This window comes from Homo sapiens, chromosome 17, assembly GCF_000001405.40.
Source record: "Homo sapiens chromosome 17, GRCh38.p14 Primary Assembly".
Lineage (NCBI taxonomy): Eukaryota > Metazoa > Chordata > Mammalia > Primates > Hominidae > Homo > Homo sapiens.
Genome location: NC_000017.11, coordinates 39,198,526 through 39,226,135, shown reverse-complemented (window position 1 = coordinate 39,226,135; position 27,610 = coordinate 39,198,526). Strand labels below are relative to the sequence as shown.

At 55.6% G+C, this 27,610-nt stretch overlaps 2 protein-coding genes and 1 long non-coding RNA gene across 9 annotated transcripts, besides 10 other annotated features; 2 read left to right on the top strand and 1 right to left on the bottom strand.

The window, feature by feature from the left end:
- STAC2 (SH3 and cysteine rich domain 2) lies at positions 191-15,595 on the top strand. 6 transcript variants are annotated; one of them, NM_001351360.2, is made up of 11 exons: positions 191-723; positions 7,963-8,067; positions 8,963-9,060; positions 9,236-9,326; positions 10,906-11,018; positions 11,113-11,185; positions 11,275-11,345; positions 11,806-11,903; positions 12,578-12,629; positions 13,004-13,141; positions 13,740-15,595. In NM_001351360.2, exons 3-11 carry the CDS (start codon positions 8,992-8,994, stop codon positions 13,842-13,844), a joined length of 810 nt encoding a protein of 269 aa, NP_001338289.1. In that variant the 5' UTR covers positions 191-723; positions 7,963-8,067; positions 8,963-8,991; the 3' UTR covers positions 13,845-15,595. The 6 variants fall into 6 exon arrangements, with proteins under 6 accessions (NP_001338289.1, NP_945344.1, XP_016880069.1 ...); NM_198993.5 differs by having other exon boundaries at positions 7,963-8,269; XM_017024580.2 differs by having other exon boundaries at positions 7,963-8,269; positions 12,563-12,629.
- Positions 433-933: an enhancer, noted in NCBI's record as "H3K4me1 hESC enhancer chr17:37381456-37381956 (GRCh37/hg19 assembly coordinates)". NCBI's record gives its function as "activates a minimal SCP1, AML or CMV promoter by ChIP-STARR-seq in naive H9 embryonic stem cells {active_cell/tissue: H9 hESC(naive)}" and the evidence as "EXISTENCE:reporter gene assay evidence [ECO:0000049][PMID:30033119]".
- Positions 2,596-2,765: a silencer, noted in NCBI's record as "fragment chr17:37379624-37379793 (GRCh37/hg19 assembly coordinates)". NCBI's record gives its function as "represses an EF-1alpha promoter that drives an FKBP-Casp9 reporter gene in an ReSE screen in HepG2 liver carcinoma cells {active_cell/tissue: HepG2}" and the evidence as "EXISTENCE:reporter gene assay evidence [ECO:0000049][PMID:32094911]".
- Positions 15,564-16,230: an enhancer, noted in NCBI's record as "H3K27ac-H3K4me1 hESC enhancer chr17:37366159-37366825 (GRCh37/hg19 assembly coordinates)". NCBI's record gives its function as "activates a minimal SCP1, AML or CMV promoter by ChIP-STARR-seq in naive H9 embryonic stem cells {active_cell/tissue: H9 hESC(naive)}" and the evidence as "EXISTENCE:reporter gene assay evidence [ECO:0000049][PMID:30033119]".
- Positions 16,195-16,304: a silencer, noted in NCBI's record as "silent region_8452". NCBI's record gives its function as "represses an Ori minimal core promoter by ATAC-STARR-seq in GM12878 lymphoblastoid cells {active_cell/tissue: GM12878}" and the evidence as "EXISTENCE:reporter gene assay evidence [ECO:0000049][PMID:35858748]".
- Positions 16,195-16,905: a biological region, named in NCBI's record as "H3K27ac-H3K4me1 hESC enhancer GRCh37_chr17:37365492-37366158".
- Positions 16,231-16,897: an enhancer, noted in NCBI's record as "H3K27ac-H3K4me1 hESC enhancer chr17:37365492-37366158 (GRCh37/hg19 assembly coordinates)". NCBI's record gives its function as "activates a minimal SCP1, AML or CMV promoter by ChIP-STARR-seq in naive H9 embryonic stem cells {active_cell/tissue: H9 hESC(naive)}" and the evidence as "EXISTENCE:reporter gene assay evidence [ECO:0000049][PMID:30033119]".
- Positions 16,776-16,905: an enhancer, noted in NCBI's record as "active region_12093". NCBI's record gives its function as "activates an Ori minimal core promoter by ATAC-STARR-seq in GM12878 lymphoblastoid cells {active_cell/tissue: GM12878}" and the evidence as "EXISTENCE:reporter gene assay evidence [ECO:0000049][PMID:35858748]".
- Positions 16,926-17,015: an enhancer, noted in NCBI's record as "active region_12092". NCBI's record gives its function as "activates an Ori minimal core promoter by ATAC-STARR-seq in GM12878 lymphoblastoid cells {active_cell/tissue: GM12878}" and the evidence as "EXISTENCE:reporter gene assay evidence [ECO:0000049][PMID:35858748]".
- Positions 18,685-18,944: an enhancer, noted in NCBI's record as "active region_12091". NCBI's record gives its function as "activates an Ori minimal core promoter by ATAC-STARR-seq in GM12878 lymphoblastoid cells {active_cell/tissue: GM12878}" and the evidence as "EXISTENCE:reporter gene assay evidence [ECO:0000049][PMID:35858748]".
- Positions 21,404-25,853, bottom strand: RPL19 (ribosomal protein L19). Of its 2 annotated transcripts, none has more exons than NM_000981.4 (6): positions 25,787-25,853; positions 24,817-24,923; positions 23,697-23,819; positions 23,027-23,147; positions 21,949-22,059; positions 21,404-21,611 (listed from the first exon to the last, which is right to left on the bottom strand). In NM_000981.4, the coding sequence occupies exons 1-6, from the start codon at positions 25,789-25,791 to the stop codon at positions 21,488-21,490; spliced, it is 591 nt and encodes a 196-aa protein (NP_000972.1). In that variant the 5' UTR covers positions 25,792-25,853; the 3' UTR covers positions 21,404-21,487. The 2 variants fall into 2 exon arrangements, with proteins under 2 accessions (NP_000972.1, NP_001317129.1); NM_001330200.1 differs by having other exon boundaries at positions 21,406-21,611; positions 25,393-25,813.
- Positions 21,734-21,934: a silencer, noted in NCBI's record as "peak2833 fragment used in MPRA reporter construct". NCBI's record gives its function as "represses an SCP1 promoter by STARR-seq MPRAs in K562 erythroleukemia cells {active_cell/tissue: K562}" and the evidence as "EXISTENCE:reporter gene assay evidence [ECO:0000049][PMID:32103011]".
- Positions 24,922-25,981, top strand: LOC124903996 (uncharacterized). The gene is made up of 2 exons (XR_007065745.1): positions 24,922-25,231; positions 25,338-25,981. It is a non-coding gene; the product is annotated as an uncharacterized LOC124903996 (long non-coding RNA).

Genomic DNA, 27,610 nt, shown 5'->3' with positions numbered 1-27,610 from the left:
TTTTTCAGTGTGAAACTCCCTCCTCCGCTTCTTTCCCCGCCAAGCCCCGCCCCATCGTGTCGAGCCCCCCAAGACTCCGCCCAGTTCGCCCTCCTGGCCACCGAGGCAGCCAATAGCTGAGAGCCTGATTTGCAGGGCTGCGCGGGGGAGCGGCGTAGGGCAGGGGGCGGGACCAGGCGACCTCCTAAATCAAAGTTGGGCGGCGAGGACTGGGCGGAGGGGCCGCCGGGTGCCGGGCTGGGGCCGGCGGGGGAGGGGAGGGGATGGGGGGCGGGCGCAGCGGACGGCGGAGCCGGCTGGACACGGACAGCTCCTTGGCTCCCTCCCTCGGCTCATCCCCGCGGCCCCACTTCCCTCCTCCCCGCGCTGCGAGCAGCATCCTCTGCAGACCCTCGGTCCTCGCGCCCGGGGTCGTCCCGCTCCTGCGGCTCAGCGTGGTGGCCTCCCCTCGCCCGCCACCCCGGCAACTTTCTCTGCCCGCTCCCGCGGGTTGGGGGCTGCCGTGCCGGGGGCTAACTGGGGGCAGCCTCTGGAGAACGGCTTCAGAGTCCCGGAGACGCCCGCCACCCGCAGCCTGCCCGCGGTGGGCCTGCCGTCGGATCTCGGCACCCTCTCCTCCCCTCTCCCCGAACCATGACCGAGATGAGCGAGAAGGAGAACGAACCGGATGACGCGGCCACCCACAGCCCCCCAGGGACCGTCTCCGCCCTCCAGGAAACCAAGGTAACTTGGGGGGCGCAAGGCCTGTCCGCGCCCCGGGCCCGGGCGCCCTCTTCCCGGCGGGGTCCTCCTGTGGGCCCGGGCGTCCTAGGGTCGCGGTCGCGAGGCCCGCGTGACCACTGAGGCTCCGCGCCGCTCCCGGGGGTAGGAGTGGGTTGGCGACGAGGGGCCACAAGGAGCCCCCGATCACACCGGCACCGCACGCCCGCGCGCGCCATCGCGACCTTCTGGGGAGGCGGCCACTGGTCTTCGTTGGAGAGATGGGCGCAGCGAGGCCGGAGGGCGCGCGTGGAGCGGTGCGGGCGGGGTACGCGCCCGGCTGTGCGTGCGAGGCGCACCCTCCAGCGGCCGCCGGGTCCCAGTCCCGGGCTCAGTCCGCGCCTCTATCCTCGCTCGTGTCTCTGAATTTGTCTCTACAACCTGCGTGTCTGTGTCTTGGTGTCTCTGTGTGCGTCTCTCCCCGTCTCTCCCGGCGTCTCCGGGTGTTTATCTCCGCGTCTCAGGGCGTCTCTCCCTGCCCCTCCGCAGTCCTGCATTCCCCGCTCCTAGCCCTGTTGGGCTCGGGGACGCGAGGCCGCGGCCGGGGGTGCGCAGCTGCGGAGTCCGCGAGGGGGCCTGCAGCAGCGCCGGCCGTCGGTCACGGGCGAGGACGGGGGCCTGCGGTTGTGGCTCCAGACCAGAAAGACAGGCAGCCCCGCGCCCCACCACGGGAGCGGGACCAGAGGAGGGGGAGCGGGTAGAAGCAAAAAGAGAAGTCATCGTAATTAATGAATGTCATCATTAACCCTAATTATGGATGATTGTTACTCCTGAGGGAGTCACCATGAATAAATTACTCCCCGCGAAGGCAGGCGGAGCCCAGACTCCTGGCGCTGAAAGGGGTGTGGGGAGGCCGCCGCTCACACTCAGCACTCCCCCGACCTCTAATCCGTCTGCTCCCTTCCCAAGTTCTAGGTGCTGGCGACTGGCCCGCGAGAAGTTCTGTTTCTGCGGGATCAACCTGAGCGGGCCTGGGGTTGGGATAGAAAGGGCTGTGCCAAGGGCGCGCCCTGCCACCTCCCAGACTTCAGGCCAAGACCTCCTCCCTCCCCCTTCACCCGGTATTTTGTTCCCATCCTGCTCCTGTTCTCCAGAGGCGAAAGGGGACAGTGAGGACCAGAAATGATGGGAGCCTGGGCTCCGGAGGCGTCCTGGGTTCGCTAGGCTTCTTTCCACTGTCCCCCTTCCTCCTTCTTCCATCTTGACCATCCCGCAGGAGCTGAGGTTAATTCAAGGTCAAGGTCATCAAGGGAGTGACCGGAGGAGGAGGCCGTAGGGTCAGGGTGGAGTCTGGCAGAGGCACCCCAGGGAGCCCCCATCCTGCACCAGGGGACCCAGCAGGTCTCCACATTCAAGTCTTCACATGCACACCTGACTCTCTCTTGCCCCCTTCTAAAAATGAGACTCTGGTCTGTGAGGCCAGAGCTGACTCCCCTTTAGAGAGCCAAGTCTCAGTCTCTCCTGGGAAAGGACTAAGATGTTTGGGTGGGAGGATATTGCTTGGAATATTTGTGACAACTTCTGTCAAGCAGAAGGTCTAGGAGCTGAACCTCCCCTGAGTTCCAATGCCCCTGATTTCGGTTGCCCTCTAGTCACCTGGGTAGACATACACAGTCCCCCTGCTTGCCTCCAGGGGCTTGGGGGCCTCCCAGGCCCTGCCCTGTTTCCCACACCAAGGCCTGTCCTCTCCAGCCTCCTCCTATGTGGGAGTGCTGGAAGGCGGGCAGGAGTGTGGGGTAGTGCTGCCTCAGTACTCCAGCAAGCTGCCTGCTCAGCTGTGTGGGGAGGGAAGGTCAAGGGCCACAGGTCTGTACCTCTCCCTCTTCCCAGGCCAGGGACCCTCCAATGTTGTCACCTCTGGGTCTGAGCTTGGAGATTCAAGGAGTAGGGGAGGGGAGGGGTTACACCCCTGATCCGGCCCTTCTGTGTCAGGCCAGCTGGAGCCCCGGCCCTCCGCCCCTCCCCTATACATCACTCTTGTGAAGGATTCTGCACTAACACAGACTGGGCTGTGGGTTGGGTCGGGGGTATTCAGCAGGGCAGAGGTGGGCAGAGAGAGAACTCAGGACCCCTGCTAGCCTCCTTCCATCCTGCACCTCAACCTGGCCCAAAGAAGCTCCTGTCTCCAGACTGTGGGTGGAGATGGAAGAGTACAGTTGGGTGCCGCCCACCAAGCTCAGTGTGAGGCAGGTACAACAGAGGGGGCCAATGCCCTTCAGGCAGTGATGCCAACATTCCAGGCTTATTCATCAGTGTTGGTGCCCCCTGGGAATCACTGGCCAGCCTCCTGCTTGCCCCCAGGCTGAATCAGCCCTGCACCCAAGCCACCCAGCAACCTTCCTAGCGAGTCCTCCTCCTCTCTTGGTCTCCTTCCCTTCTTATCACATAAGGCCTGCCCATCACCCTTTGTTGCCACCCCTGGGAGGACCACCCCATGCCATCTCTGCTGTGAGTCAGCTTGTGCCACGTCTGCCACCACCCACTGCCAGATGCCTCATGCCCTTTCAGGAGACGCCGTGGGGAATTGAGGAAATAAGGGGCCGTCCAGGATATGGGGAGGTGGGGAGGAAACAGGCAGGCCAGGCCCTGTCTCTGGGAGGGGATTCAGAAGAACAGACTTTGTGGTCCAGGCTCCTAGCTGGACAAACTCTGGATGCGTTGGGAGGGAAGAGTGACCAGGCAGGCCCACTTGCCAAGGTACATGGCAGCTTCTCCCCATGCCAGAGAATGGGTCCCAGGGAAGTGAGGGCACCAAAAGTATAGTGGGGAGAAGAGATGGGCAAAGGTCCTCTCCAGGAATGAGGAGCCCCAGGAGCCGGAATACCTGGCCTGGCTGAGCCAAAATGTGGTTTGGGTAGCCAAGCCCGATGTCTCTGAAGTGGTCAGGCATCAAGTCATTTGGCAGAGATGCCCCAACCCAGACCTGTAGCCACAGTCTGATCTCTGCCAGCCACCCCAGGTGGCATGTCATTCCTTCTCGCTTCTCCACCCCCCTGGGATCTGGGGCCCACAGCCAAGCCAGGGAGTCGGCCGGCAGAGTCGGGGCTGCCCTGGTACCCGGGAACATTCTGTTCCAGAGGCCTCCGGTACCTAGCAGAGGTGGCTCTTGGCACTGAGACCAAGGGGTACCAGGAAAGGACACAGCCTGGAGGGTAGGGAGACTTGGAACCTCCTCCTATGAGGATTACTATGGAAACAAGGGCCTGGGGATGGGGGGAACATGACTGATGGTGTCTTCAAATATTTGAAGGGCTGAAGTGTATGAGAGGGAGTAGCCCTTTCTGGAGCCAAGGGAGGAAGGAGGGCTGATAGGCGAAAATCCCAGGGAGGCAGGTTTCAGCTCTATATGGGGAAGCACTTTGCAGCCATTGGAGCTGCCCAAAGATGGAATGACTGTCCCAAGAGACTGCTTGCTTCCCATCACAAGAGGTGACCAACTCTTGAGACGGGATGTGGCCAGGCCATCGCAGGGTGATGAGTTGGGGACTGCTCTAGGTGGCCAGTCTTCCAGGTCCCTTCTCACCCTAAACTCTCTGATTGACCTTGTGGACAAGCCCCTGGCCCAGCTGAGAGGTGAGGGTGATGGCCCAGGCAGGGCCCAGCTGAGAGGCGAGGGTGAGGCCCAGGCAGGGCCCAGCTGAGAGGCGAGGGTGAGGCCCATGCAGGGCTCAGCACAGCAGGATGCTCCTGGTGCTTTGGGCTCAGCAGCCGAAGCCGCTGGTTCAAGTCCTGGCTCTGCTGTTTACCAGCTGAGGACTCCTGGGTAAGTGATTTAACCCTTATAAGCCTCAGTTCCTCATCTGAAAAGTGGGACAGTAATTATCACTACTTCCAAGGGCAGCATCAGGATTAATGAGATGCTGCATATAAAGTGCTAGCTCAATTCCAATGTTCTGACCATGACAGCCCCTCAGAGATGTAAGTTTCTGGGGATATTTGGACCTAGAGCCTTTTATTGGTTAGAGAGTGTCCAGTCTTGGCCAGGCGCGGTGGCTGACGCCTGTAATCCCAGCACTTTGGGAGGCCAAGGTGGGCGGATCATGAGGTCAGGAGTTCGAGAGCAGCCTAGCCAATACGGTGAAACCCCATCTCTACTAAAAAAAAATACAAAAAATTAGCCAGGTGTGGTGACAGGCGCCTGTAATCCCATCTACTTGGGAGGCTGAGGCAGGAGAATCGCTTGAACCTGGGAGGTGGAGGTTACAGTGAGCTGAGACCGTGCCACTGCACTCCAGCCTGGGCAACAAAGCAAGACTCCGTCTCAAAAAAATAAAAACAAGAGGGCAGGCATGGTGGCTCACGCCTGTAATCCTAGCACTTTGGGAGGCCGAAACAGGCGGATCACGAGGTCAGGAGATCGAGACCATCCTGCCTAACACGGTGAAACCCCGTCTCTACTAAAAATACAAAAAATTAGCCAGGCGTGGTGGCGGGCGCCTGTAGTCCTAGCTACTCGGGAGGCTGAGGCAGGAGAATGGCGTGTACCCGGGAGGCGGAGCTTGCAGTGAGCCAAGATTGCACCACTGCACTCCAGCCTGGGCGACAGAGTGAAACTCCGTCTCAAAATAAATAAATAAATAAGTAAAATAAAAAATAAAAATGATAGGCCGGGTGCAGTGGCTCACGCCTGTAATCCCAACACTTTGGGAGGCCGAGGCGGGCAAATCACGAGGTCAGGAGATCAAGACCATCATGGCTAACACAGTGAAACCCCGCCTCTATTAAAAATACAAAATTAGCCGGGCATGGTGGCAGGAGCCTGTAGTCCCAGCTACTTGGGAGGCTGAGGCAGGAGAATCACTTGAACCCAGGAGGTGGAGGTTGCAGTGAGCTGAGATCGTGCCACTGCACTCCAGCCTGGGTGACAGAGTGAGACTCCATCAAAAAAAAAAAAGAGTATCTAGGCTTCCCTCTTGGATGTGGGGAAACTGAGGCTCAGAGAGAAGAAGTGGGGTGATTTGCCTTCAGGCAGTAGGTTTAGTTTTGCCCCCAGCCCCAGCACATCCTCCGGCGACCCTGTGTGCTCCATGCCTGAGGTCCCTGGACAGAACAGTGGACGGTTCACCTGCCTCTTGGGGCCCATCCAAGCCCCCAGAGCCACACTTGGTCCTGGCTGGCCCAGAGCCTGACCTGGGCTGAGTTTTGTGTTCTCATTAATTGTCTCTCCAGCCTTCTACCTATGCTCCAAGGCCCAGGCATCTGGGGCCTGGGGCCTTGCTTCTCATAGATACACAAAGAAGCCCACAGTGCTATCCAGGAAGCTGGGTTTGGAAGGCACTGAGCCCTTCAGTGTGCCAGACACCCCAGGGCTTTGGCCTCCCAACTGGCACACCAGAGCCTGCCTTGTGCCCAAACATCCCCTCTGCTTCCCCCTCTGTCTTGCTGCCTGCTGGCCTCCCGGAGGCTGGTGGGGCCACCACTTCCATCCCCTTGGCAGGGTGGCCAGGCAGGCAGCCATGGCACGTAGGCTACCCAGCGTGCCAGCTGGGAACCCTGGCCAAGTCCCTCTGCCTGGAGCCAGGCTGCTGGCCCCTGTTTCTGTCTCTAATAGAAAGGAGTGGGCAGGGGTAAGCCGCCTCTCAACGGGAAGGGAGACGGCCAAGGCTCTGGGTCAAGAGGTTTCCAGACCTCTCTCTGGGAAGACTCAGTAGGGTGTGTTTGAATGAGAGGTGGAAATAGCTCTGGCCTCACCGCAGAATCGACCCTGCCCTCCAGAATGTAGGCTTCAAGGAGAGTCCAGCCGCTGGCTCATGTATTCACCAAAGGCTGCTGATTGAGCACCTACTATGTGTTGAGAGCCTGCGTGGGGATTTGAAGCCAGCAACTGTGTCCGTCCCCAAGGGGCTCACAATCTCCTGGGGGAGTGAGAAATAAATAACAAGCATCACCCGAGTGGAGCTGTGGTGGAAGTTGGGCTGGATGCAGTGGACACCAGAGGAGGGAGTGGGTCATGAGACAGAATTCCTGCAGAAGAGAGTTCCTGGAGGAGGAAGGACCAGTGGAAGCATATTGGCAGGATAAAGAGGGTATGAACTGAGTGAGGCAGAGAAGAGGACAAACATGTCAAAAGCTCAGAGGCATAAAAGCATGGATGAGTTTGAGAATTGAGGATTCTCAATTCTCAATGAATTGAGAAATGAGTTTCTGGGCTGCAAAGGCACAGGTTGGAAGGACAGGTTTGGCCAAGTTGCAAGGAGAGTCTCGTGGCTGGGGCGAGAGCCTTGGACGGTGTCCCGAGGAGCTAGGAAGAGTTTTTAGCAGGATCAGGCATCACCCCCGCAACAGCTGTATGGAGGACAGGTGGAAGCAGGGGGCTGGAGGGGAGGCTGTGGCCTTGAAGCAGACTGGGGCATCAGGGCCTGAACTAAGGGCTGTGAGGTGACGAGTCAATGGGAGGGAGGGGAGGGCTAGAGAGACTTTCTGTCGGGGAGAATCAGTCCCAAGGATGAGGGTCCAGGACGACCACTCCTCACCCCCCACCAGCCTGTTCGAGAACACAGGTGGATACTACGTTGCCCAGGCTGGTCTCCAACTGCTTGGCTCAAGCGATTCCCTCCCGCCTCAGCCTCTCAGAGTGCTGAGATTATAGGCAGGAGCCACCATACCGTGCCTATTTTTTTTTTTCTAAACTTGAGTAAATGGTACACCCATACAACAAAATACTTTGTAGCCATAAAAAAGAATGATGAATCTATTTATGTATGGGTATGGAATGATTTCCAAGATTTACTGTTTATGAAAAAAAGCAAGGCACAGGAAATATAGTATACTACCATTTCTTCAAAGAAAAATGGAATTAAACCACTTAAACTTGTTTCTATCCGATTTCACATAAAAGTCTAGATTTCTTTTGAAAAACTAGAAAACCTGGCAACAGCCTCAATTGGCTTGAGGAGACCTGCAGCTACTCCCTGGCCATCCAGTTTGCCACAGTCCCCACGGCTCTTGATTGCTGCCCACCTGGCCAGAACTCCTTTCTCCATGGAGGTCAACCACCTGGCTTTTGTGGCACCTGAGATTGCGAAGTGTCGTCGGGACCTGGGGAGCCTCTCTGTTGCTGTTTCATTTCGCTCTGGCCCTCAGCCCCCACGCTGCTGCTGCTGCTGCTGCTGCCGCCCCTACCGCCAGAGACACCCTGAAGGGAAGCCCGCCCTGGCCAGCCCCCTCTAGGCTCCCACTCACAGCTCCCTCTTTTTCTCCCAGCTCCAGCGATTCAAGCGCTCCCTCTCCCTCAAGACCATCCTCCGAAGTAAGAGCTTGGAGAACTTCTTCCTTCGCTCGGGCTCTGAGCTCAAGTGCCCCACCGAGGTGCTGCTGACGCCCCCAACCCCACTGCCCCCTCCCTCCCCACCACCCACAGCCTCGGACAGGGGCCTGGCTACCCCATCCCCCTCCCCATGCCCAGTCCCACGCCCCCTGGCAGCGCTCAAACCAGTGAGGCTGCACAGCTTCCAGGAACATGTCTTCAAGCGAGCTAGCCCTTGTGAGCTGTGCCACCAGCTCATCGTAGGTAGGTGCCTGGGCACTGAGGCGGCCACGGGGAGGGGCCAGCGTGGGTACTGGGGAGTGGGCTCATGTTGCGCCCAATATTATTGGGCTCTTGCTGTTCAGGAGCCCCAATACTAATTGTGCCTCTGTGCCTCTTTTTTTTTTTGAGACAGAGTCTTGCTCTGTCTCCCAGGCTGGAGTGCAGTGATGCAATCTTGGTTCACTGCAACCTCCACTTCCCTGGCTCAAGGGATCCTCCTGCCTCAGCCTCTGTAGTAGCTGGGACTGCAGGCACACACTACCATGCCCAGCTAATTTTAAAATATTTTTTGTAGAGATGGGGTTTTGCCATGTTGCTCAGGCTGGTCAAACCCTGGGCTCAAGCAATCCATCCACCTCAGCCTCCCAAAGTGCTGGGATTACAGATGTGAGCCATTGCACCCACCCCCAACTGTGCCTCTTACCCAAGGCAGAGAGAGGAGCACCACCAAGGGTGGGGGTATACTCAGTGTCACTGCCTCAGTGTCACTGCCATGTTTACTAACGACTCTGGCTTCCGTGCTCCCTCATACCCTGACTGTGTGAGGGGTAGGTGCTGGGCCTCAAGGCTGGCATGAGAATGCCCAACCCCTGCTCTCCTCATCCCCTAATGTGCCCCTCCTTTGCCTGTTGCCCACGGGGGTGTCCTCAATTGCTGAACCCAAATTCTTCCTAGGAAACTCCAAACAGGGCTTGCGATGTAAGATGTGCAAAGTCAGCGTCCACCTCTGGTGCTCTGAGGAGATCTCCCACCAGCAATGCCCAGGCAAGACGGTGAGCGGGGACCCAGGCAGAGATGGCCAGCTGAGTGCTGCCAGTACTGTCACATGGGAGAATGAGTATCCCTCAGGGCTGCTCCTTCCTGTGGGGTGGGCCCTGGGCTTGGGAAGGACCAAGTTCTCCATAGGCCATGACCTCCTCAAAACCTCTCTGCCCTCTCTTGCCATAGTCCACCTCCTTCCGCCGCAACTTCAGTTCCCCTCTCCTGGTGCATGAGCCGCCACCAGTCTGTGCCACAAGCAAAGAGTCCCCACCCACTGGTGAGTGCCCCCCCTGGCCGCAGTCCCTGCTCCCATTGTGGTGGGATGAGAAATCAACATCCCTGACCAGCCTGGCCAACACAGTGAAACCCCGTCTCTCAATTGCTTGAACCCAGGAGGCGGAGGTTGCAGTGAGCCAAGATCACGCCACTGCACTCCAGCCTGGGCTACAGAGTGAGACTCCATCTCAAAAAAAAAGAAAGAAATCAACATTTCTGAGATGGGTGCCTGAGTCACACTGGCACAGACAGTTCCTACCATTTCCCTTCTCTGGATGTTCCTGTCCTGAATTTGGGGTTCATTCATTCATTCACTCATCATTCCTTCAACAAGCACTTTATTAAGCACATACTAAGTGCCAGGCACAGTGCTGGACTCTGAGACACAGTAGTGAAGAAGGTGGAATTTATTGTCTAGTAAAGGAGATAGGACTGAAATGGACAGTCATGCAAATCATCAATCAATCACCATCAGCATGAGCGCCTTAAGTGGGGAAGATAAGGAATAGAGCATAGAATGTGTGCTGAAAGCTGGGTGTGGTGGCTCATACCTGTAATCCCAGCTACTTGGGAGGCTGAGGCAGGAGGATTGCTTGAGCCCAGGAGTTGGAGTCCAGCCTGGGCAACATGGTGAGACCCTATCTCTAAATTAAGAGAAAAGAAAAAGCTCGCTGTCTTCATCTGCAAAATCAGGGAAGACTTCCCAGAGATGTGAAGGATGAGGCATGAGGGGTTCATCCATTTAGGATCTGGAAAGACTGGTGTGGGGCAGAGGGAAGCCTGAGAAAGGAAGGACAGGGAGTTAAAGAAAGGGCAAAGTGCCAAGTGTGGTGGCTCACACCTGTAATCTCAGCACTTTGGGAGGCCGAGGCGGGCGGATCACAGTGTCAGGAGTTTGAGACAAGCCTGACCAACATGGTGAAACCCCGTCTCTACTAAAAATACAAAAAAATTAGCTGGGTGTGGTGTCAGGCTCCTGTAATCCCAGCTGAGGCAGGAGAATTGCTTGAACCCAGGAGGCGGAGGTTGCAGTAAGCCAGGATCGTGCCATTGTACTCCAGCCTGGGCGGCAGAGCGAGACTCCGTCTCGAAAAAAAAAGAAAAAACGAGACCATGGGTACGAGGCCTTGGGGTCCATTTTAGGGTAGCCTTTTGGACTTTCTTCTAAGGGTAATTTGTGTGTTTCTACAAAAGCTTTCTGGCTGCTGTGTGGACTGGCAGGGCTAGAGTGGAAGCAGGGAGACCAGTTGAAAGGCCATGACAGTTGCCAAGAGAGTGTGGTGATGTGAATTAGACTGCTAGCAGTGGTGATGGAGACATGTGGATAGGTTGTAGGGATGCTAGGAGGGAGGACTAGGTGGCAGAGTGGCTGTGGGCAGTGAGGACAGTGAGGAGTCAAGGATGCTCCAAGTTTCTGCATGGGCACCATGGGAGGACCCAGAGCCATCTCTGGGATGAGGAAGACCTGGGAGGGACAGGTGAGGGGGCAGCTGGGAAGCTCAGCCTGGGGCATGCTGAGCCGGGACTAGAGATGCAGGGCTTTGAGGCAGAGCCAGGCCTTGAGGGTGGATAATCTGCAGGGGACAGTGGGAAGGTGGACCCTGTCTACGAGACCCTGCGCTATGGCACCTCCCTGGCACTGATGAACCGCTCCAGTTTCAGCAGCACCTCTGAGTCCCCGACAAGGAGCCTGGTATGGTGGGCAAAAAGGGGGGGTCTTTTGGGGAGGGGTGTCTGAGCATGACAGTGGGCTCGGGGGCTGAGCCCTCTCCTCTCTCTGTCCCTAGAGTGAGCGGGATGAGCTGACCGAGGATGGGGAAGGCAGCATCCGCAGCTCTGAGGAGGGGCCTGGTGACAGTGGTGAGTGGTGGTGGGCATCAAGGGCAGGAATGGGGTACAATGGAGGGTGCTCCCTGCTGCCTCTCACCCTTTCCCTCTCCTGCCCCTAGCATCTCCAGTATTCACAGCCCCAGCAGAGAGTGAAGGGCCAGGACCAGAGGAGAAGAGTCCTGGACAGCAGGTGAGCCTGTACTGGCATTGGCCCGGAAGGTCAGGGTGGGAAGCGGGTGTAATTTCTCCTTGCCATTGATTCATAGGGGGGCAAGAGCATGGTGCGTGGGGATTCACTGCTTCCTCACTTATCCTCAGGGATGGGCAATGCCAGGATGAGAGGGCATGGGAGGCAGGAGGAGTTACCCTCCCACCCCCAGCCCACTGCCCATTGCACCCATTTCTTCTCTCCCAAAGGCAGGCAGCCCCAGGGTACAGCAGGCAGAAGGGGGCTCCCCTCTCCATTCCCGTCCCAGTGCGCTTTGGGGTGGGTGAGCATAGCATGTACGAGGGTCTCACTTCTCCCTGCCGTTGACCTAGGACTCACTGTGTCCCCTCACAGCCCCCAGGGTAGCACACTCAGAGCGAGTGGAGAGTGGGGGGAGTGAGGGTGCTGCTTTCCGGTCACCGACCCAGAGATTCTCCCGCAGCTCCCCAAAGCCACCCTGCGGAAGGATGTGGGGCCCATGTACTCCTACGTTGCACTCTACAAGTTTCTGCCCCAGGAGAACAATGATCTGGCTCTGCAGTAAGTCCTCTTTGTGACCTGGCCCCGCTGGGCAGCTCTGCGCTCCCAGACCTTGAAACACAGTGTGAGGGGGGCCTTCAGGAACCTTCTTGCATGCTTGAGGCTGCTGAGCCCAGACAGGAGCTGGAACTGCCCAGGGTCTAAGAGTGACTCATGCTAATGTCGTGTCTCCCGCCCTCTGACTGGGCTGCCCAGCGAGTGCCTGCTGTACCTGTGGTCACATGGTGTCCTCTGAGGGCATCAAGAATCCTCTCCCAGCGGGGCGCGGTGGCTCACCCTTGTAATCCCAGCACTTTGGGAGGCTGAGGCTGGCAGATCACTTGAGGTCAGGAGTTCGAGACCAGCCTGGCCAACATAGTGAAACCCCATCTGTACTAAAAATACAAAAATTAGCCAGGCATGGTGGCAGGTGCCTGTAAACCCAGTTACTCGGGAGGCTGAGGCAGGAGAATGGCTTGAACCCGGAAGGTGGAGGTTGCAGTGAGCCAAGATCGTGCCTCTGCACTCCAGCCTGGGTGACAGAGTGAGAGTCTATCTTAAAAAAAAAAAAAAAAAAAAAAGAATCGTCTCTCCCAGCTGAGGACTGCAGTGTCCCCCAGGTGCCCAGGGTCTGCTAGGATGGGGAGGGGCACTACTCCCTGCTCCATATGCAACCCTAGCTCTGTCCTCCCCAGGCCTGGAGATCGGATCATGCTGGTGGATGACTCTAACGAGGACTGGTGGAAGGTGACTTGGCAGGGTGGGGAGTGGAGGGACACTGGTAGGCACCCCAGCAGCCCCCACCCCCAATGGGCACTGCCCCCACCTTCTCTCCAGGCCCCAAAGACAACCTCTCCTCCAACCACTGGTCCCAGCCAAAACTAGGACCAACCCTTGGGACATCCTCTCAGTTTTGACTCTCCTTGCCTCAGCTTTGTCCCTCTGCTCACCTTATGCTATTCCTGGCCCAGAAGCCACCTGGCTGGGGGCTGGAATCCGGAGAGCCCTAGATCTGGAGGATGATGGCATTGGTGCTGAGTGGGAACCGGGTCTGGAGAAAGCAGTGGTGGGCAGCAGGGGTGGGGTGTGGCGCGGGTGTTCATTGCCAACCTCATCCCCAGGGCAAGATCGGCGACCGGGTTGGCTTCTTCCCAGCTAATTTTGTGCAACGGGTGAGGCCAGGCGAGAATGTTTGGCGCTGCTGCCAACCCTTCTCCGGGAACAAGGAACAGGGTTACATGAGCCTCAAGGAGAACCAGGTGAGTGCCTGAGGCCCAGCCCAGGCCCTATGGCGGAGGGAGGGAGTGGGCGGGGGAGACAGGCTGCGGTGCGGGGGTAAATGCTCTGCAGGAGGAGGCTGATCTTGGCAGTTGAGGGGAAAGCGGGTTAGAAAGAAAGGGTTGCAGGGCCCTCCTACCAGCCCCTGCTGGGGAATTTGGGCTGGTGACCAACAGAGACAGGAGACTGAATGACATTAGAGGGAGCTTGGGTTAGCGCAGGAGCACTGGATTCAGAGTCTAAAGCTCAGGTTTGAATGCTAGCTCTGGCTTTTTGTGTAATTTGAGGCAAGTCCTTTTCCCTCCACCTCCTCTGTGATGGGGGTGAGGCAGGGCAGTACAGCGGCTAATCTCCAAGGTCAGCCCTGAAGTGCTGCTGGGTGTCTGCTGACGTGCTGGTCTTGCTGCTGAGGCCTCTACACTCCTGGGATCTGGTCCCATCACTCCAGCAAAGGGCTCCATCCACATCTGACACTGGTCCCATCATCCCCCAGGGTGGGTCCCCTGGGGGCCATGGGCAGGACTCAGGGCCAGGGCTGCAGGCCATGCCAGGCCTCAGCTCCATGTCTCTCTGGCTCAGATCTGCGTGGGCGTGGGCAGAAGCAAGGATGCTGACGGCTTCATCCGCGTCAGCAGTGGCAAGAAGCGGGGCCTGGTGCCAGTCGACGCCCTGACTGAGATCTGAGAGGAGCCAAGGGAACCCAGATGACACCCTTGCCCATGCCTGGACCTTGCTTCTGGCCAGGGAGGGGATCAGGCCCCCTTGTCCACTCCATACCCTTCCTCCCTCTGTCCCTCTCCTAGGTGCCACTTACCGTGGCTTAGGAGCCTTTTGTACTGGGGAAGATTTTATTTCTTGGGTGGGGTGCCCTGAGTGGGTTGATCCTCTGGGACTTGGCGGGGATGGGGTGGGGTGGGAGGGAATGAGGAAGCTACAGGTAGGTCCACCCAACGCCCAGGCACCCCAGTCTACTTGCTGGGCTGAGTCCAGCCCTGGGGAAGATTCCTGGGGAATTTATTTGCTGCTTCTCCCAGCCTTCCCCTGCCCACACCACCTGCGCATGCCTGGCACACCCCTCTCCCCACAGAGCCTCTGCTTGGGTCTATGTGTGTGTGACCGTGCATCTGCTCCTTTGCAAGTGGGGTCTTGGGAGCAGGCCTTTTTGTGTCCTCGGCCCTCCACCCTTGGTGGGGAGGGGACCCAGGACCATAGGAAGGTCCTGAGTCCACCTCCTGGTCTCCACCTCTGTCATTCCGTCAATTCTCAGGAAAGTTTTGCAGGAATCTCTCCCGTTACTTGAAACCTGGGCGGACAGATGAGGGGAAGGCTGAGGTCCCTGGAAGGTGTAACAAATCAGAGACTATCTGTTCAAGTAGAAAACCCAAGAGCTGGCCAGGTGTGGTGGCTCATGCCTGTAATCCCAGCACTTTGGGAGGCTGAGGTGGGCAGATCACCTGAGGTCAGGAGTTCAAGACCAGCCTGGCCAACATGGTGAAACCCCGTCTCTACTAAAAGTACGAAACTTAGCCAGGCATGATGGGGGTCTGCCTGTAATGCCAGCTACTCCAGAGGCTGAGGCAAGAGAATCACTTGAACCCGGGAGGCGGAGGTTTCAGTGAGCCGAGATTGCACCATTGCACCCCAGCCTGGGCAACAGAGCGAGACTCCGTCTCAAAAAAAAAAAAAGAAAGAAAGAAAAGGAAACCCAAGAGCTGCCTGGACACACGGAAACCCAACTGAGAACAAAATCCTGGCCCGTGCTTGGTCAAAGCAAACCCATTTCACTGTCAGGACCCCCGGTCACACAGGAACCACCCGCCAGGGGAGCCTGTGACTGTCAGTTCCTGTCCCAGGCTTTGCCCGGCCGCCCCAGGAACCCAACCCTCTGGGCTGACCTTTCTCCTGCTTCTCTCCAGGCTCTGCAGGGGACAGGGCAGGTGCTGCAGGAGCCCCTTTGCTGGCTTTATCTGCTCCCTTGTTCTGGACACAGAGCCCTGGGAAAAAGAGGGGGTGGAAGACAGACAAGGAAGGTGGAATGTTCTGTTTTGGCCACCAGGAAATGGGGTGGGGTGGGCATACACAGAGAGGACCCCTCTCTTAATACAGCTGCTTTTCTCGGTGCCAACCTCCCTCCCCCAAGCTCAGATCCTCCTCTTATGCCCTTGATTGTGCCAGCCCATGCCACCCCCATCCTGGGCACAGTTACACCCTCCCATGCAGTGGGAGAAACACAGACCCTCGTACCCAAAGGCCCCTGCCCCACTTCTCCCCCACAAAGCGGGGTCTCAAGCCACACTGCCCTGTTTGCTGCCATGAGGCCCCCCCCCCCAGCAATATCCCAGGGGCGGGCCCAATGCCCACTGTACATGAGGCTGCATGATGGGTCTGGGGCCTTGCTGATTCCCCAGACCCCTAATTAAATGTTTCTTGTCCCAGCCCATCTGCTCTGTGTCTCTCACTGGGACAGAGGAAGGAAAGGGGCAGGGAAGTGGGGAGTGGGGTCTGGGGATGCTGAGAGGGGCAAGGCTGAGGGTGGAAGAATTCCTCCGTCTCTGAAAGGAGGGGTGCTGGGCAGGCGGCAACATGGCAGGGGTCCCAGGCCTCATCCCTTTCCTCCAGCAGCCCGAGGAGGGTGGGGTCTGGGGAGAGCCAAAAGGGGACCTGAGGAAAGTGGGAGGAGGTCTGGGGACGCTGGAGGGAAACGGCTTGGGGCTGCGGTCACTTTCCGCCTCCATGTGCACCTGAGTCGCGCAGGGGCGGACATGCTCCTGCGCGCCAGGGCCGTCGAGGCCGATCTTGCCCACCCAGAGGTGCCCTCCGAGACCGGGCGTGCCGGGGGTCTGGGAGGGCTCAGTACCCATCCGAGGTCAGCCTCGTCCCCGCAGTCCCCCAAGCCGGAGACAGAAACGCTGGCGGCGGGGACAGTCGTGGCCCGTGGGTCCCCGGGATGACTCAGTCGCCCCTGTCATCGGAGCCCAGCATGGAGGGGCCGCACCCCTCCCGCCGCCGCGCTCGCCGCCCACCGCTCTGGCAGAGCTGCCTCCTTCCCCTCCGCCTGCCCAGCCGCGTCATCGCCACGGCGAGCACGTCCTGTGCTATTTATAGGCGGAGGGGAGCGGGGCGCCAAGGAGAGGCGGGCTGCGGGGGTGCTGGGGCACTGCTGGCGCTGCCCGGATGCAGAGTGGGGGCTGCCTTTCCTGATGAGCGCCCCCTCCTCCACCGGTTCCGGTTTACAGCCCCCGCCCCCTGAGCCAGGTAGGCCAGGTGGGCCCAGACCTTGGGTCCCCTCCTTGAGCTTTCTTTGGGCTCCTTGACTTGAGGAAGGCCCTGGAGGTTGGGGGTCGAGAGAGCCGGGAAAGGAGGGTGACCCTCCCCCTCCTAGGATCCCCAGCCCTGGGAGTGGAAGAAGGGGTCACAAGACCAGTGTGAATGCTTAAAGAGAGGGAACTCATAAATAGGCACCTACTGTGCCCAGGGAACCGTGCCAGGAACTTGATGTTACTTAATCCTTTCCAGGATCCTGTGAGGCGAGTGGGGGTGTCCTCCTCTCACAGGGAAGAACTGAGGCACAGCCAGGTTAGGTGGCTTATCTAAGGTCACACAGATTACCCAGCTCAACACTGCCCTCTTTATACATGGGGAAACTGAGGCCTGGAGTGGGCTAATGACTTGTCCAGGGTCACACAGCAAAATGAGTGATCAAGCCAGTCTTGGAAACCGCGGCTTTTTCTTCTCCTTTCAGCTCTTTCCCTCCCCTGCCCTGGCTTCCTCAATGCCTTAAACTAACAAAATGGAGACAGAGACACCCTGAGACGCTGGGCCAGAGGCTCCAGGGATCAAGAGCCTGAGAGCCTTGCAGCCACGCCTTATGCACACCCAGCTGTGTGTCTGCCACCAGCCGGCAGCTGGCCTGGACGCCCATCCCCCTCCAGCCTATTTGCCGCACTGCTGAGCACAGCAGCTTTTTTGGGTGGCTGAACCCCATGCAGCATGCTCACAGCCTAGGGCCTGGGAACAGTTGGTGCCCCACTGTAGCCTTTGCCCTCCTCTGTGCCCACTCTGGGGGTGGACGGACCAGCAACACTACTGGTCTGGGGCAAAGGGTGCCTAGGAAGCTACTGGTGATCCCAAATCCCACCATTTGGCTCTGTTGTCTCTGACCCACATGTGCCCTTCATGCCCCCCTACACAGAAGCTGAGCTTCACCTGGCTTGTACTGTGTGGGATGAAGGTTCCCTGGACTTCAGGGAGATGCAGAAAGAGGAGGGAGTCTGGAGAGATGGATGCTGGAGGTGGGGAGAAGAGAGAATGAGCCCCTCGGTGCAACCCTACTCATTTTGCCAGCACTGCTTCCTTTGGCCCCTTCAACCTTCTTCACCCCCATTCTTACCCGCTGTCCACCCAATGCCTGGGCAGGTGGGGGCACCTGCTGAGGAGTGCAAGGAAGGCAGCCTCAGCCTCCCTGTGCTTTGCAGGAAGCCAGCCTAGGTTAGCCCTGCCGTAGCCTCAGAGGCAGTACTGGAAGGAGGCCAGGCCCCTCTGTACCCTCTTCTCCAGCTCACAGCCCTGCAGTAGCAGCTGTGCTCAGTGCCTCTGCTGCACCCCAATCTGAATCACACCCTCCCACGTCGGGAGACTGCAGCCTGGGAATCAGAGTCAGGCGCCAGTGTTCGTGCAGCACTGAGGTTCTGCACACCCCACTTGTGTCTGCCACCAGCCAGTAGCCAGCCTAGCCCCCCCACCCCCGGCCTGTTTGCCGCACTGCTGAGCACAGCAGAAGAGTCACTGGCTCCTCTGGGTCTCTGTTTCCTCCTCTAGAAAATCAAGCATTGGGTTTGCTCAGGGATTCTTTACGTGGTAAGGGTGTGGGTCACGAGCTCCTTGAAAGGGTGTGGAATTATATGATAGGGACACTTGTATGCTCTTGAAAGAAAAAACATTTTTTTTTACAATTTTTTTTTTTTCCCCTGAGATGGAGTCTCTCTCTGTCACCCAGGCTGGAGTGCAGTGGCTCAATCTCGGCTCACTGCAACCTTTGCCTCCTGGGTTCAAGTGATTCTCCTGCCTCAGCCTCCCGAATACCTGGAATTACAGGCGCGTGCCACCACGCCTGGCTAATTTTTGTATTTTTAGTAGAGCCAGGGTTTCACCATGTTGACCAGGCTGGTCTCTAACTCTTGACCTCAAATTATACACCCGCCTCGGCCTCCCAAAGTGCTGGGTTTACGAGCGTGAGCCACCGCGCCCAGCCAACAAATTATTTTTGATATTTTTGTTTTAGAGACAGGGACTTATTATGTTGCCCAGGCTGGCATGCAGTGTCTATTCACAGGCACCGTCATAGCTCACTGCAGCCCCAAACTCCTGGGCTCACGTAGCCCTTCCCAGTCAGCCTCCAGAATAACTGGGACTACAGGCTCACGCCAATGTGCCTGACAGGACACATCTTTTCTTTTTTCTTTTTCCATAAGTAAGGAAACAAGAGGACACATCTTTTAATCAGATTTTCTCAAGGCTACAGGACCCGGAAAAGATCCAGCAGTTACTTTAGGGGTTCTTTCTGCTTGGGGCTCCTGTGGGAGTGGATCCCTCCTAGGCACTGGCCTGGGAAGAGGTTGGAGGACCATGGTGGAAAGAGGCCAACTTCAGGCCTGGGGTGAGGTTAGGAAAGAAGTGGGGAAACCCAAGGCCTTCCAAGAGGTGGGTTCCTACAACTTCCTAACCCATCTCTTTCTCCCGCCCCCGAGAACAGACAAAAACAAAACCAAAAAAAAACTCCAGTGAGGCAGCAGCTGACACCTGCATTGACCTGTGAGCGAGTAGCACCATCTTCTGGTCCAGGGTGGAAACCAGCTTCTGCGCTGCAGGCTCTGGAATCCTGGGAGGGTCTCATATTGGGTTACCTCATTCTCCTTCCTGACATTTTTTTTTTTTTGGTTGGGGGTTGGGGGGAAGGGTCTGGCTCTGTCACCAAGGCTGGAGTGCAGTGGTGCAATCTTGGCTCACTGCAGCTTCCACCTTTCGGGTTCAGGTGATCCTACCACCTCAGCCTCCTGAGTAGCTGGGACTACAGGGGTGCACCACCATGCCCGGCTAATTTTTGTATTTTCTGTAGAGATGGGTTTTCGCCATGTTGCCCAGGCTAGTCTCAAACTCCTGGACTCAAGCAGTTCTCCCGCTCGGCCTCCAAAAGTGCTGGGATTACAGGCGTGAGCCACCACACCCAGCTTCTCCTTCCTGTCATCTCTCTACTGCATGGAGGGGTTGGGGGTGGGCAGTCTCCACTACCCCTCCTCCTCTGGGCCAGGCCTGGGAAGCAGGTGTCCCACACACCAAGCTGGGAGCTTGGCCAAGACCCTTCCCTTTCTAGGCCTCAGCTTCCCCACTTCAAAGGGCAAGAGCTAATGGGTGAAACACGCTGGCCGCTCCAGTGGCCAGGGGGATCCAGAAGCCAGTGTCCTCTCATCCCAGGCTGTGAGGCATACGATGGGGGGTCCTCTGGACATTTTCTTTTTCTTGAGATGGAGTTTCACTCTTATTGCCCAGGCTGGAGTGCAATGGCTCTCGGCTCACTGCAATCTCTGTCTCCCGGTTCAAGCGATTCTCCTGCCTCAGCCTCCCAAGTGGCTGGCATTACAGGCATGTGCCACCATGTCTAGCTTATTTTGTATTTTTAGTAAAGATGGGTTTTCTTCACGTTGGTCAGGCTGGTCTCGAACTCCCGACCTCAGATGATCTGTCCACCTCGGCCTACCAAAGTGCTGGGATTACAGGCGTGAGCCACTGTGCCCGGCTTCCTTGGGACATTTCTAAGTGTGGGCTTCCCTGCCTTCTGCTACCCACCTGCCCATCCTGCCCAGAATGGCATGAGGACGCCAGAGGCAGAGCTAGGAGTCTGCTGGCCCTGACACCATAGCCAACCTGCCATTCCCACTCAGGTCTTGCCCTTTTCCATCAGCCCATTACATGCCCTGAAAGGCACGCCAGCTCATCACTCCAACAGAAGAGTTCCTCAGAAAAGAGCTGGGGGGCCAGGCACAGAGGCGGGTGGATCACCTGAGGTCAGGCGCTCAAGACCAGCCTGACCAACATGGCGAAACCCCGTCTCTACTAAGAAATACAAAAATTAGGGGGCCGGGCGCGGTGGCTCACGCCTGTAATCCCAGCACTTTGGGAGGCCGAGGCGGGTGGATCATGAGGTCAGGAGATCGAGACCATCCTGGCTAACAAGGTGAAACCCCGTCTCTACTAAAAATACAAAAAATTAGCCGGGCGCGGTGGCGGGCGCCTGTAGTCCCAGCTACTCGGGAGGCTGAGGCAGGAGAATGGCGTGAACCCGGGAAGCGGAGCTTGCAGTGAGCCGAGATTGCGCCACTGCAGTCCGCAGTCCGGCCTGGGCAACAGAGCGAGACTCCGTCTCAAAAAAAAAAAAAAAAAAAAAAAAAAAGAAATACAAAAATTAGCCAGGCATGGTGGTGGGTGCCTGTCATCCTAACTACTCAGGAGGCTGAGGCAGGGAGAGTTGCTTGAACCCAGGAGGCAGGGGTTGCCGACTGCACTCCAGCCTGGGTGACAGGGTGATTCTGTCTCAAACTTTCAACTGTATCTCAATAAAGCTGTTTAGTGACAGCTTAGGTAGTAGCCAGTAGTCCAAGCTCAGGTCCCATTTGTAACCCCCACTTGTCAGCTGAGAAGTATAAACACCCTAAGTATTTCCTATGGCTTTTGTAAAGACTGATTCCTTAACTGATGTCACAACTACTGGTCCCAACCAACATTCTGAGACCACTTCTTAGGTGTCACTCGTGCTTCGAAGGGCAGTTCTGAGGCACAGTATTTTGGAGGCTTGCATAAAAGCCATTCCTTTTCTCCCTACATCCCACTAAAACAAGGTAAAAGACTCAGTGAGCAGGCCAAGTGTAGTGGCTCACGCCTGCAATCCCAGCATTTTGGGAGGCCGAGGCAGGTGGATCACTTGTGGTCAGGAGTTCGAGATCAACCTGGCCAACAGTGAAACCCAGTCTCTACTAAAAATACAAAAATCAGCCGGGCGTGGTGGCACGCACCTGTAATCCCAGCTACTCAGGAGGCTGAGGCAGGAGAACTGCTTGAACCTGGAGGTGGAGTTTGCGGTGAGCCAAGGCTGCGCCATCGGACTCAAGCCTGGGCGACAGGGCAAGACTCGTCTCAAAAAAAAAAAAAAAACCTCACTCAGTAACCGTAAACCTTGCAAGAAGCAGAGAGGAAGGCAGATTAAGGCTTGTTTTATTTTAATGGCTGATCTATGTAATCACAGAGGCCAGTATGTACAGACAAAGTGGGAGGTTTTATTTCTTGGTCTCTTCCTCCTTGGATAAAGTCTTGATGATCTCCTCCTTCTTGGCCTGGAGGCGCTCTTCACGGCGCTTGCGTGCTTCCTTGGTCTTAGACCTGCGGGCCTCAGCCTGGTCACTGGTCAGGGAAGAGAAAAGACGGGTCAGTTTGGGAAGAGATGAGATGCTAGGGAGACAGAAGCACATCCCCAGACCTCTCCCTTTGAGCCTAGTCAGCTTCTGGAATGAGTTGCTGGGCCCACCAAAGGCTCCTGCTTCAACTAACCTCTAGTCCCTACGAGACAGGAAGAGTGGGTGTGTACAGGACAGAGGAGTGGGTGCCTCTAAGGGAACAGCTGTATTCCTAAGACAGACTACGTGCAAGTCAAGACTTAGGCATTGGCACATTTTAAGTATCTAAGAACAACTCTCAAAGGTCTAAGAATGTTCCCCTAAGACTCTGAAAAGAAACTTACGCCAGGAGCTTCTTGCGGGCCTTGTCTGCCTTCAGCTTGTGGATGTGTTCCATGAGAATCCGCTTGTTTTTGAACACATTCCCCTTCACCTTCAGGTACAGGCTGTGATACCTGCAGGGTACACGGAGTGAAGAGATGCTGGTTGGTGATGGATCAGAGGCTGCCTTGTGAGCTGTTCCTCCACCCAAGGTCACTAAGCTTGTAGCTTCCTTTCTTTTCTCCTATTGCTGCATGAATTACTTCCTAAACCATGACTTTTTTGTGTGCAGTTCCTAGATAGAACTTGCCTGGCAAATAAACTGTTGGGCTATCCTGATGACATACAGGGAAAAAAAGAAAGACCAGAATAGAAAAACTTTCTTAGAAAGGCTCCCTACCCATGGCTGGGCGTGGTGGCTCAGGCCTGTAATCTGAGCACTTTGAGAGGCTGAGGCGGGCGGATCACTTGAGGCCAGGAGTTCGAGACCAGCCTGGCCAACGGTGAAACCACATCTCTACTAAAAATACAAAAATTAGCCAGGCGTGGTAGTACATGCCTGTAATCCCAGGTACTTGAGACGGTGAGGCAGGTGAAGTGCTTGAACCTCGAAAGCAGATTGCAGTGAACCAAGATCGTGCCACTGCATTCCATCCTGGGTGACAGAGCGAGACTCTGTCTCCAAAAAAAAAAAGCTCCCTACCCAAGGCCAGTAAGACAGATCTCTGTGGGCCACGCGTGGTGGCTCATGCCTATAACCCCAGCACTTTGGGAGGCCAAGGCGGGCGGATCACAAGGCCAGGAGATCGAGACCATCCTGGCTAACACAGTGAAACCCCGTCTCTACTAAAAATGCAAAAAATTAGCCAGGTATGGTGGCACATGCCTGTAGTCCCAGCTACTCAAGAGGCTGAGGCAGGAGAATAACTTGAACCTGGGAGGTAGAGGTTGTAGTGAGCTGAGATCGCGCCACTGCACTCCAGCCTGGGTGACAGAGCAAGACTCCATCTCAAAAAAAAAAAAAAAAAAAAAAAAATCTCTGGGAAATGAACTAGCCATCAAAGCAGCAAATGGGTACTGGGCCCAAGAGGGTGTGCTTACATGTGGCGATCGATCTTCTTAGATTCACGGTATCTTCTGAGCAGCCGGCGCAAAATCCTCATTCTCCTCATCCATGTGACCTTCTCTGGCATTCGGGCATTGGCTGTACCCTTCCGCTTACCTGTGGAGAAGATGAGTTAGGAACGGGCCACTACCCAGGCCCACTGTGTATAAGTACACCAAGTGAATATAGTTTCAAGTCAGGGTCCTTAACTCATTTAATCCTCACAACCTCATTTTAAGTAGCATTACTTCCATTTTCCAGATGATGATCCCAACTACGTAAGTTCTTTCGTTTACTCAATTTTAAAGGAAGCACAAATACAGCAATAATTCCCCATTCACTTCATGCAGAATGTGGGTGTAACAGGCAGTGCACCAAGGCAACACAGCACGTTGTAAGGAGCTTCCTTCGATCATTCTGAAACTAGAAAGTACAGAATCCTTGGCATAGTGTAGGTAGGGACTTAGTAAATGTGACCTCCTACCAGGGATACTCTCAATTCCAATACCAGCACCAACTTTCTGATTTGCACACAGGCAGAAAACACATCAAATATCAAGGAGTAAGAAACAGGCTCAAGATGAGACAGAGTGCTTAGATCCTGAATATATTTCAGCATAGATGCCAGCACCTATCATTTCTTAAGGAGAAGATGACCACACTTACCTATGCCCATGTGCCTGCCCTTCCGGCGGGCCAAGGTGTTTTTCCGGCATCGAGCCCGGGAATGGACCGTCACAGGCTTGCGGATGATCAGCCCATCTTTGATGAGCTTCCGGATCTGCTGACCTGGGAAAGCATAATGCACCTGGTCAGTCAACTGGGGCCCAAGCACATCACAGAGTCCAAATAGGCCAGGCCAGAGACACTGCTCACATTCTTGGCCCCACGGTCTCAAAAAGGATGGAAACACTGGAACTTATTTCTTGCCTTCAAAAACCCAAAAAACCTCTATCTTTTCTTTTTCCTTCACAAACAGAGGTTGTGAGAAATACCCTTTGTCTTTGAGACAGTCTCCCTATGTTGCCCAGGCCGGTCTTGAATTTCTGGGCTCATGATCCTCCTGCCTCAGCTTACCAAGTAGCTGGGATTAAAGATGCCTGCCACCATGCCTGGCCATTTCTACATTTTAAATATATGAAAGCACACTCAAAAGAACAAGCCTGATACAATGACTCCTCCATTTTATAGACACTCTGAATGAACTTTCCTAGGTTTGTAACAAGTCAACCCAGGCTAGGTGTGGTGGCTCACGTCGATAATCCCAGCACTCTGGGAGGCTGAGGTGGATGGATGACCTGAGGTCAGGAGTTTGAGACCAGCCTGACCAACATGATGAAACCCCATCTCTACTAAAGATACAAAAATTAGCTGGGTGTGGTGGCACGTGCCTTAGTCCCAGCTACTTGGGAGGCTGAGGAAGGAGAATCGCTTGAACCTGGGAGGCAGAGGTTGCGGTGAGCTGAGATCCTACCACTGCACTCCAGTCTGGGTGACAAAGTGAGACTCTGTCCCAAAAAAAATAAAATAAAATATAAAGAGTAAATTAGCTGGGTGTGGTGGTGCACACCTCTAATCCCAGCTACTCAGGAGGCTGAGGTGGGAGAATCACTTGAGCCTGGGAGCAGGGGTTGCAATGATCAGATGGCACCACTACACTCCAGCCTGGACAACAGAGCAAGACTGTCTAAAAAAAAAAAAAAAAGTCAACACAATTGTGTTATCATTAATCTGACGCAGGAGAAAAGAAGGAAGTAGGGTGAAGAGACAGATCCCAGGTACTCACGGGAGTTGGCATTGGCGATTTCATTGGTCTCATTGGGGTCTAACCAGACCTTCTTCTTGCCACAGCGGAGGACACTAGAGGCGAGCCTCTTCTGAAGCCTGAGCATACTAGACACACAGAAAACATGATTAGACTCTGAAAGCCAATCCTGGGCAAGAATGAACGTCCCCATCAAGACCTGCCCTTTGTGACCCACACCACAGCCGCGAAATAAGACTCTTCCCTAAATCATCTTTAAGGCTCTGGGCTATGCAGCTGGCCCCCTTGGGTTTAAGACTTCAAAACCCACGCTATGCCTTCACCTCTCGGAGCCTCATGTTCGCATTTCTCCTCTGGAAAGTCAAGCCAAGGACTTATTGGATTGAATAGGGGGGTTATGCCATTTCTGGTACTCAGCGTTTAAAGAATATTCGAGGTGAGTAGACCTGATTTCTAGTCTAGGAATGCAGGCAAGTTACTCTGTTTTCTGGGCTTATTTCCCTGTTTTATCACAGTAACAAGCCTCGTTCGGCTATTCGCAGAGATTTCCTTTATGAGAGGCCAAAGGAGTGAATGGAGTCAAGAGTTAGAGATCACCTCTCTCGGCAGTCGGAGGCCTGGGGCCTACACTAGGCTTGCCCTACATCACGTGAAAGCAGAGATCGGCTCCGCTCCGGGTGTGCCAAGCAAGAAAGGGCCCACGGCTTGGTCTTGTTCGCTCCGTTTGCTCTGCTCGCGTGGGTCGACCGGACACGTGTGCGGTGCGGCACCAGCCGGGGCAGACTTTTCCTGGTCTCAGTTGCTGCGACGCTCCCCGCCCCCCCTCACTCCGGAGGCCCGGGACGAAAGTGCTCCGGCCTACCCCAAACCCCGGGACCGGCCGCTTTAGGGCGGCCTCCATTTCATCTCCCCCAACCCCAGCTGCGGTCCCAAGACCGACAGTCCCTTGTCGACACGCGTCAGCGCCTGATGGAGACCAGCTCGCCCTCACCTCATGGCTGCGGCCGCAGCAGCGAAAGGAAAGAGCTCGCTCGGGCCCGGCTCCTCCCATTATCTGCGAAGGGGAGAGCCCAAACCCTGCTCCAATTTCGTCCGTATTCCTGTCCGGTTCTTTCATCTTCTGCCACACTAAACTCACTCATAGCCTCCATATAGGCCTGAAATGATAAAAGTCAAATATCAGAAATCGGTTTTAAACTTAAAAACATAAAAAAGTACCCCTTCCGTAGGGAAAGTGGTATAGTCCGACTTCCTACTAGACATGCGCAGCAAGGGTTCCCAATCACGTGGTTATCTGTAACCGGAAGTCAGCTGGATTGCGCAGGCGGAGTGAGAGAGGTTTTGCTAGAGTGGCCTGGTGTTTGCGGGCGTTCGGGGGGTTGTGGGTGGATGTTTTATTAGCTGAGAAAAAATCAGTTAAAGAAGCGAGAGAGAATGACAACAGATATCAGACAAAGGCGAACTCTTATTCACTCTTGTAGTAGATTGAAAACCCCTGGAGTGCAGAATCGATCACTAAAAGATGTTAGTGTTTTTACGCCACTGCGGGTCTTGCAAGCTCTTGGAGGGCGGGAACTAGTCTCAGTCTCATTTGGCTCACAACTGTACTGCGGCAGGCATGGATCCGCGATCGAACACACCTCAGAAATACCGCACTGGCTGAATGGATGAATGATTGCAGAAAGTAAAATTAAAAAAAAAAAAAATTGGGTTGGGCTCGATGGCTCATGCCTGTAATCCCAGCACTTTGGGAGGCCAAGGCAGGCGGATCACTTGAGGTCAGGAGTTCGAGACCAGCCTGGCCAACATGGTGAAACCCTGTCTCCACTAAAAATACAAAAATTAGCCGGGCGTAGCGGCGCGTGCTTGTAATTCCAGCTACTGGGGAGGCTGAGGCAGGAGAATCGCTTGAACCCAGGAGGCGGAGGTTGCAGTGAGCCGAGATTGCGCCACTGCACTCCAGCCTGGGCAACAGAGTGAGACTCCGTCTCAAAAAAAAAAAAAAAGCAGTCCTTTTCTTCTGATCTGGAACACCCAATGTAAAAATCCAAGAAGAACATTCTGGGGTTTAAGAAGTCTACATCTGAATTGAGGCTCCAACTCATGATTGGTTCCTGCTGATCACCCTATCCGTTTCATCTCAACTTTCCTGGCTGAGAAAGTAGAAGAGAGAGAAAGGGAAGCAACATTTATGCTACTTCCTCACAACAACACGATTAGCGTTGCCCTCATTTTACAGCTAAGGTAACAGATTCAGAACACAGATATTTCTGATTGCAAAGCCCATACTTTTGCGGTTATGCCAGCCTTTCTTGTCTCCAAGGGGCAGGTGGAAACCCTGCTCAGGGTTGGAACTCTCCTGGAACGTTTCTAATGGGCTTCATCTTCACTCACTGCTCCGCCTTCCCCAAGGTGTTGTGATCAGAGGAATGACAGACTGACCATTCACTTGCTATTAGAGTTGGGTGAGGAGGAGGAGTCCCATAGTCTCCTGTCCTGCGGAACACAGCAAGGTGGTGGCCTTATTGTAAGGTCACTTGACCTGGAGAGGGTCTTCTCCATCTCTCCTTTCTGTGGAGCAGGAGAAGGGGTGGAGTAGGAAGGGAATGGGTCCTCCTGTCATGAGTGACCCCTTCATTGAAACTTACAGCTTCTCCAAACACCCCAGCAATTCATTTAATTCTCCCTCATCCTCCCAATAATACCAGGTGACACAGACTCCACAGTACCAGCAACCCCATTTTATAGGAGAGGAGGAAACTGATGCTCAGAGAGGTGATTTGTCCGGGGCTATACAACCAGAAACAGCCTGAGC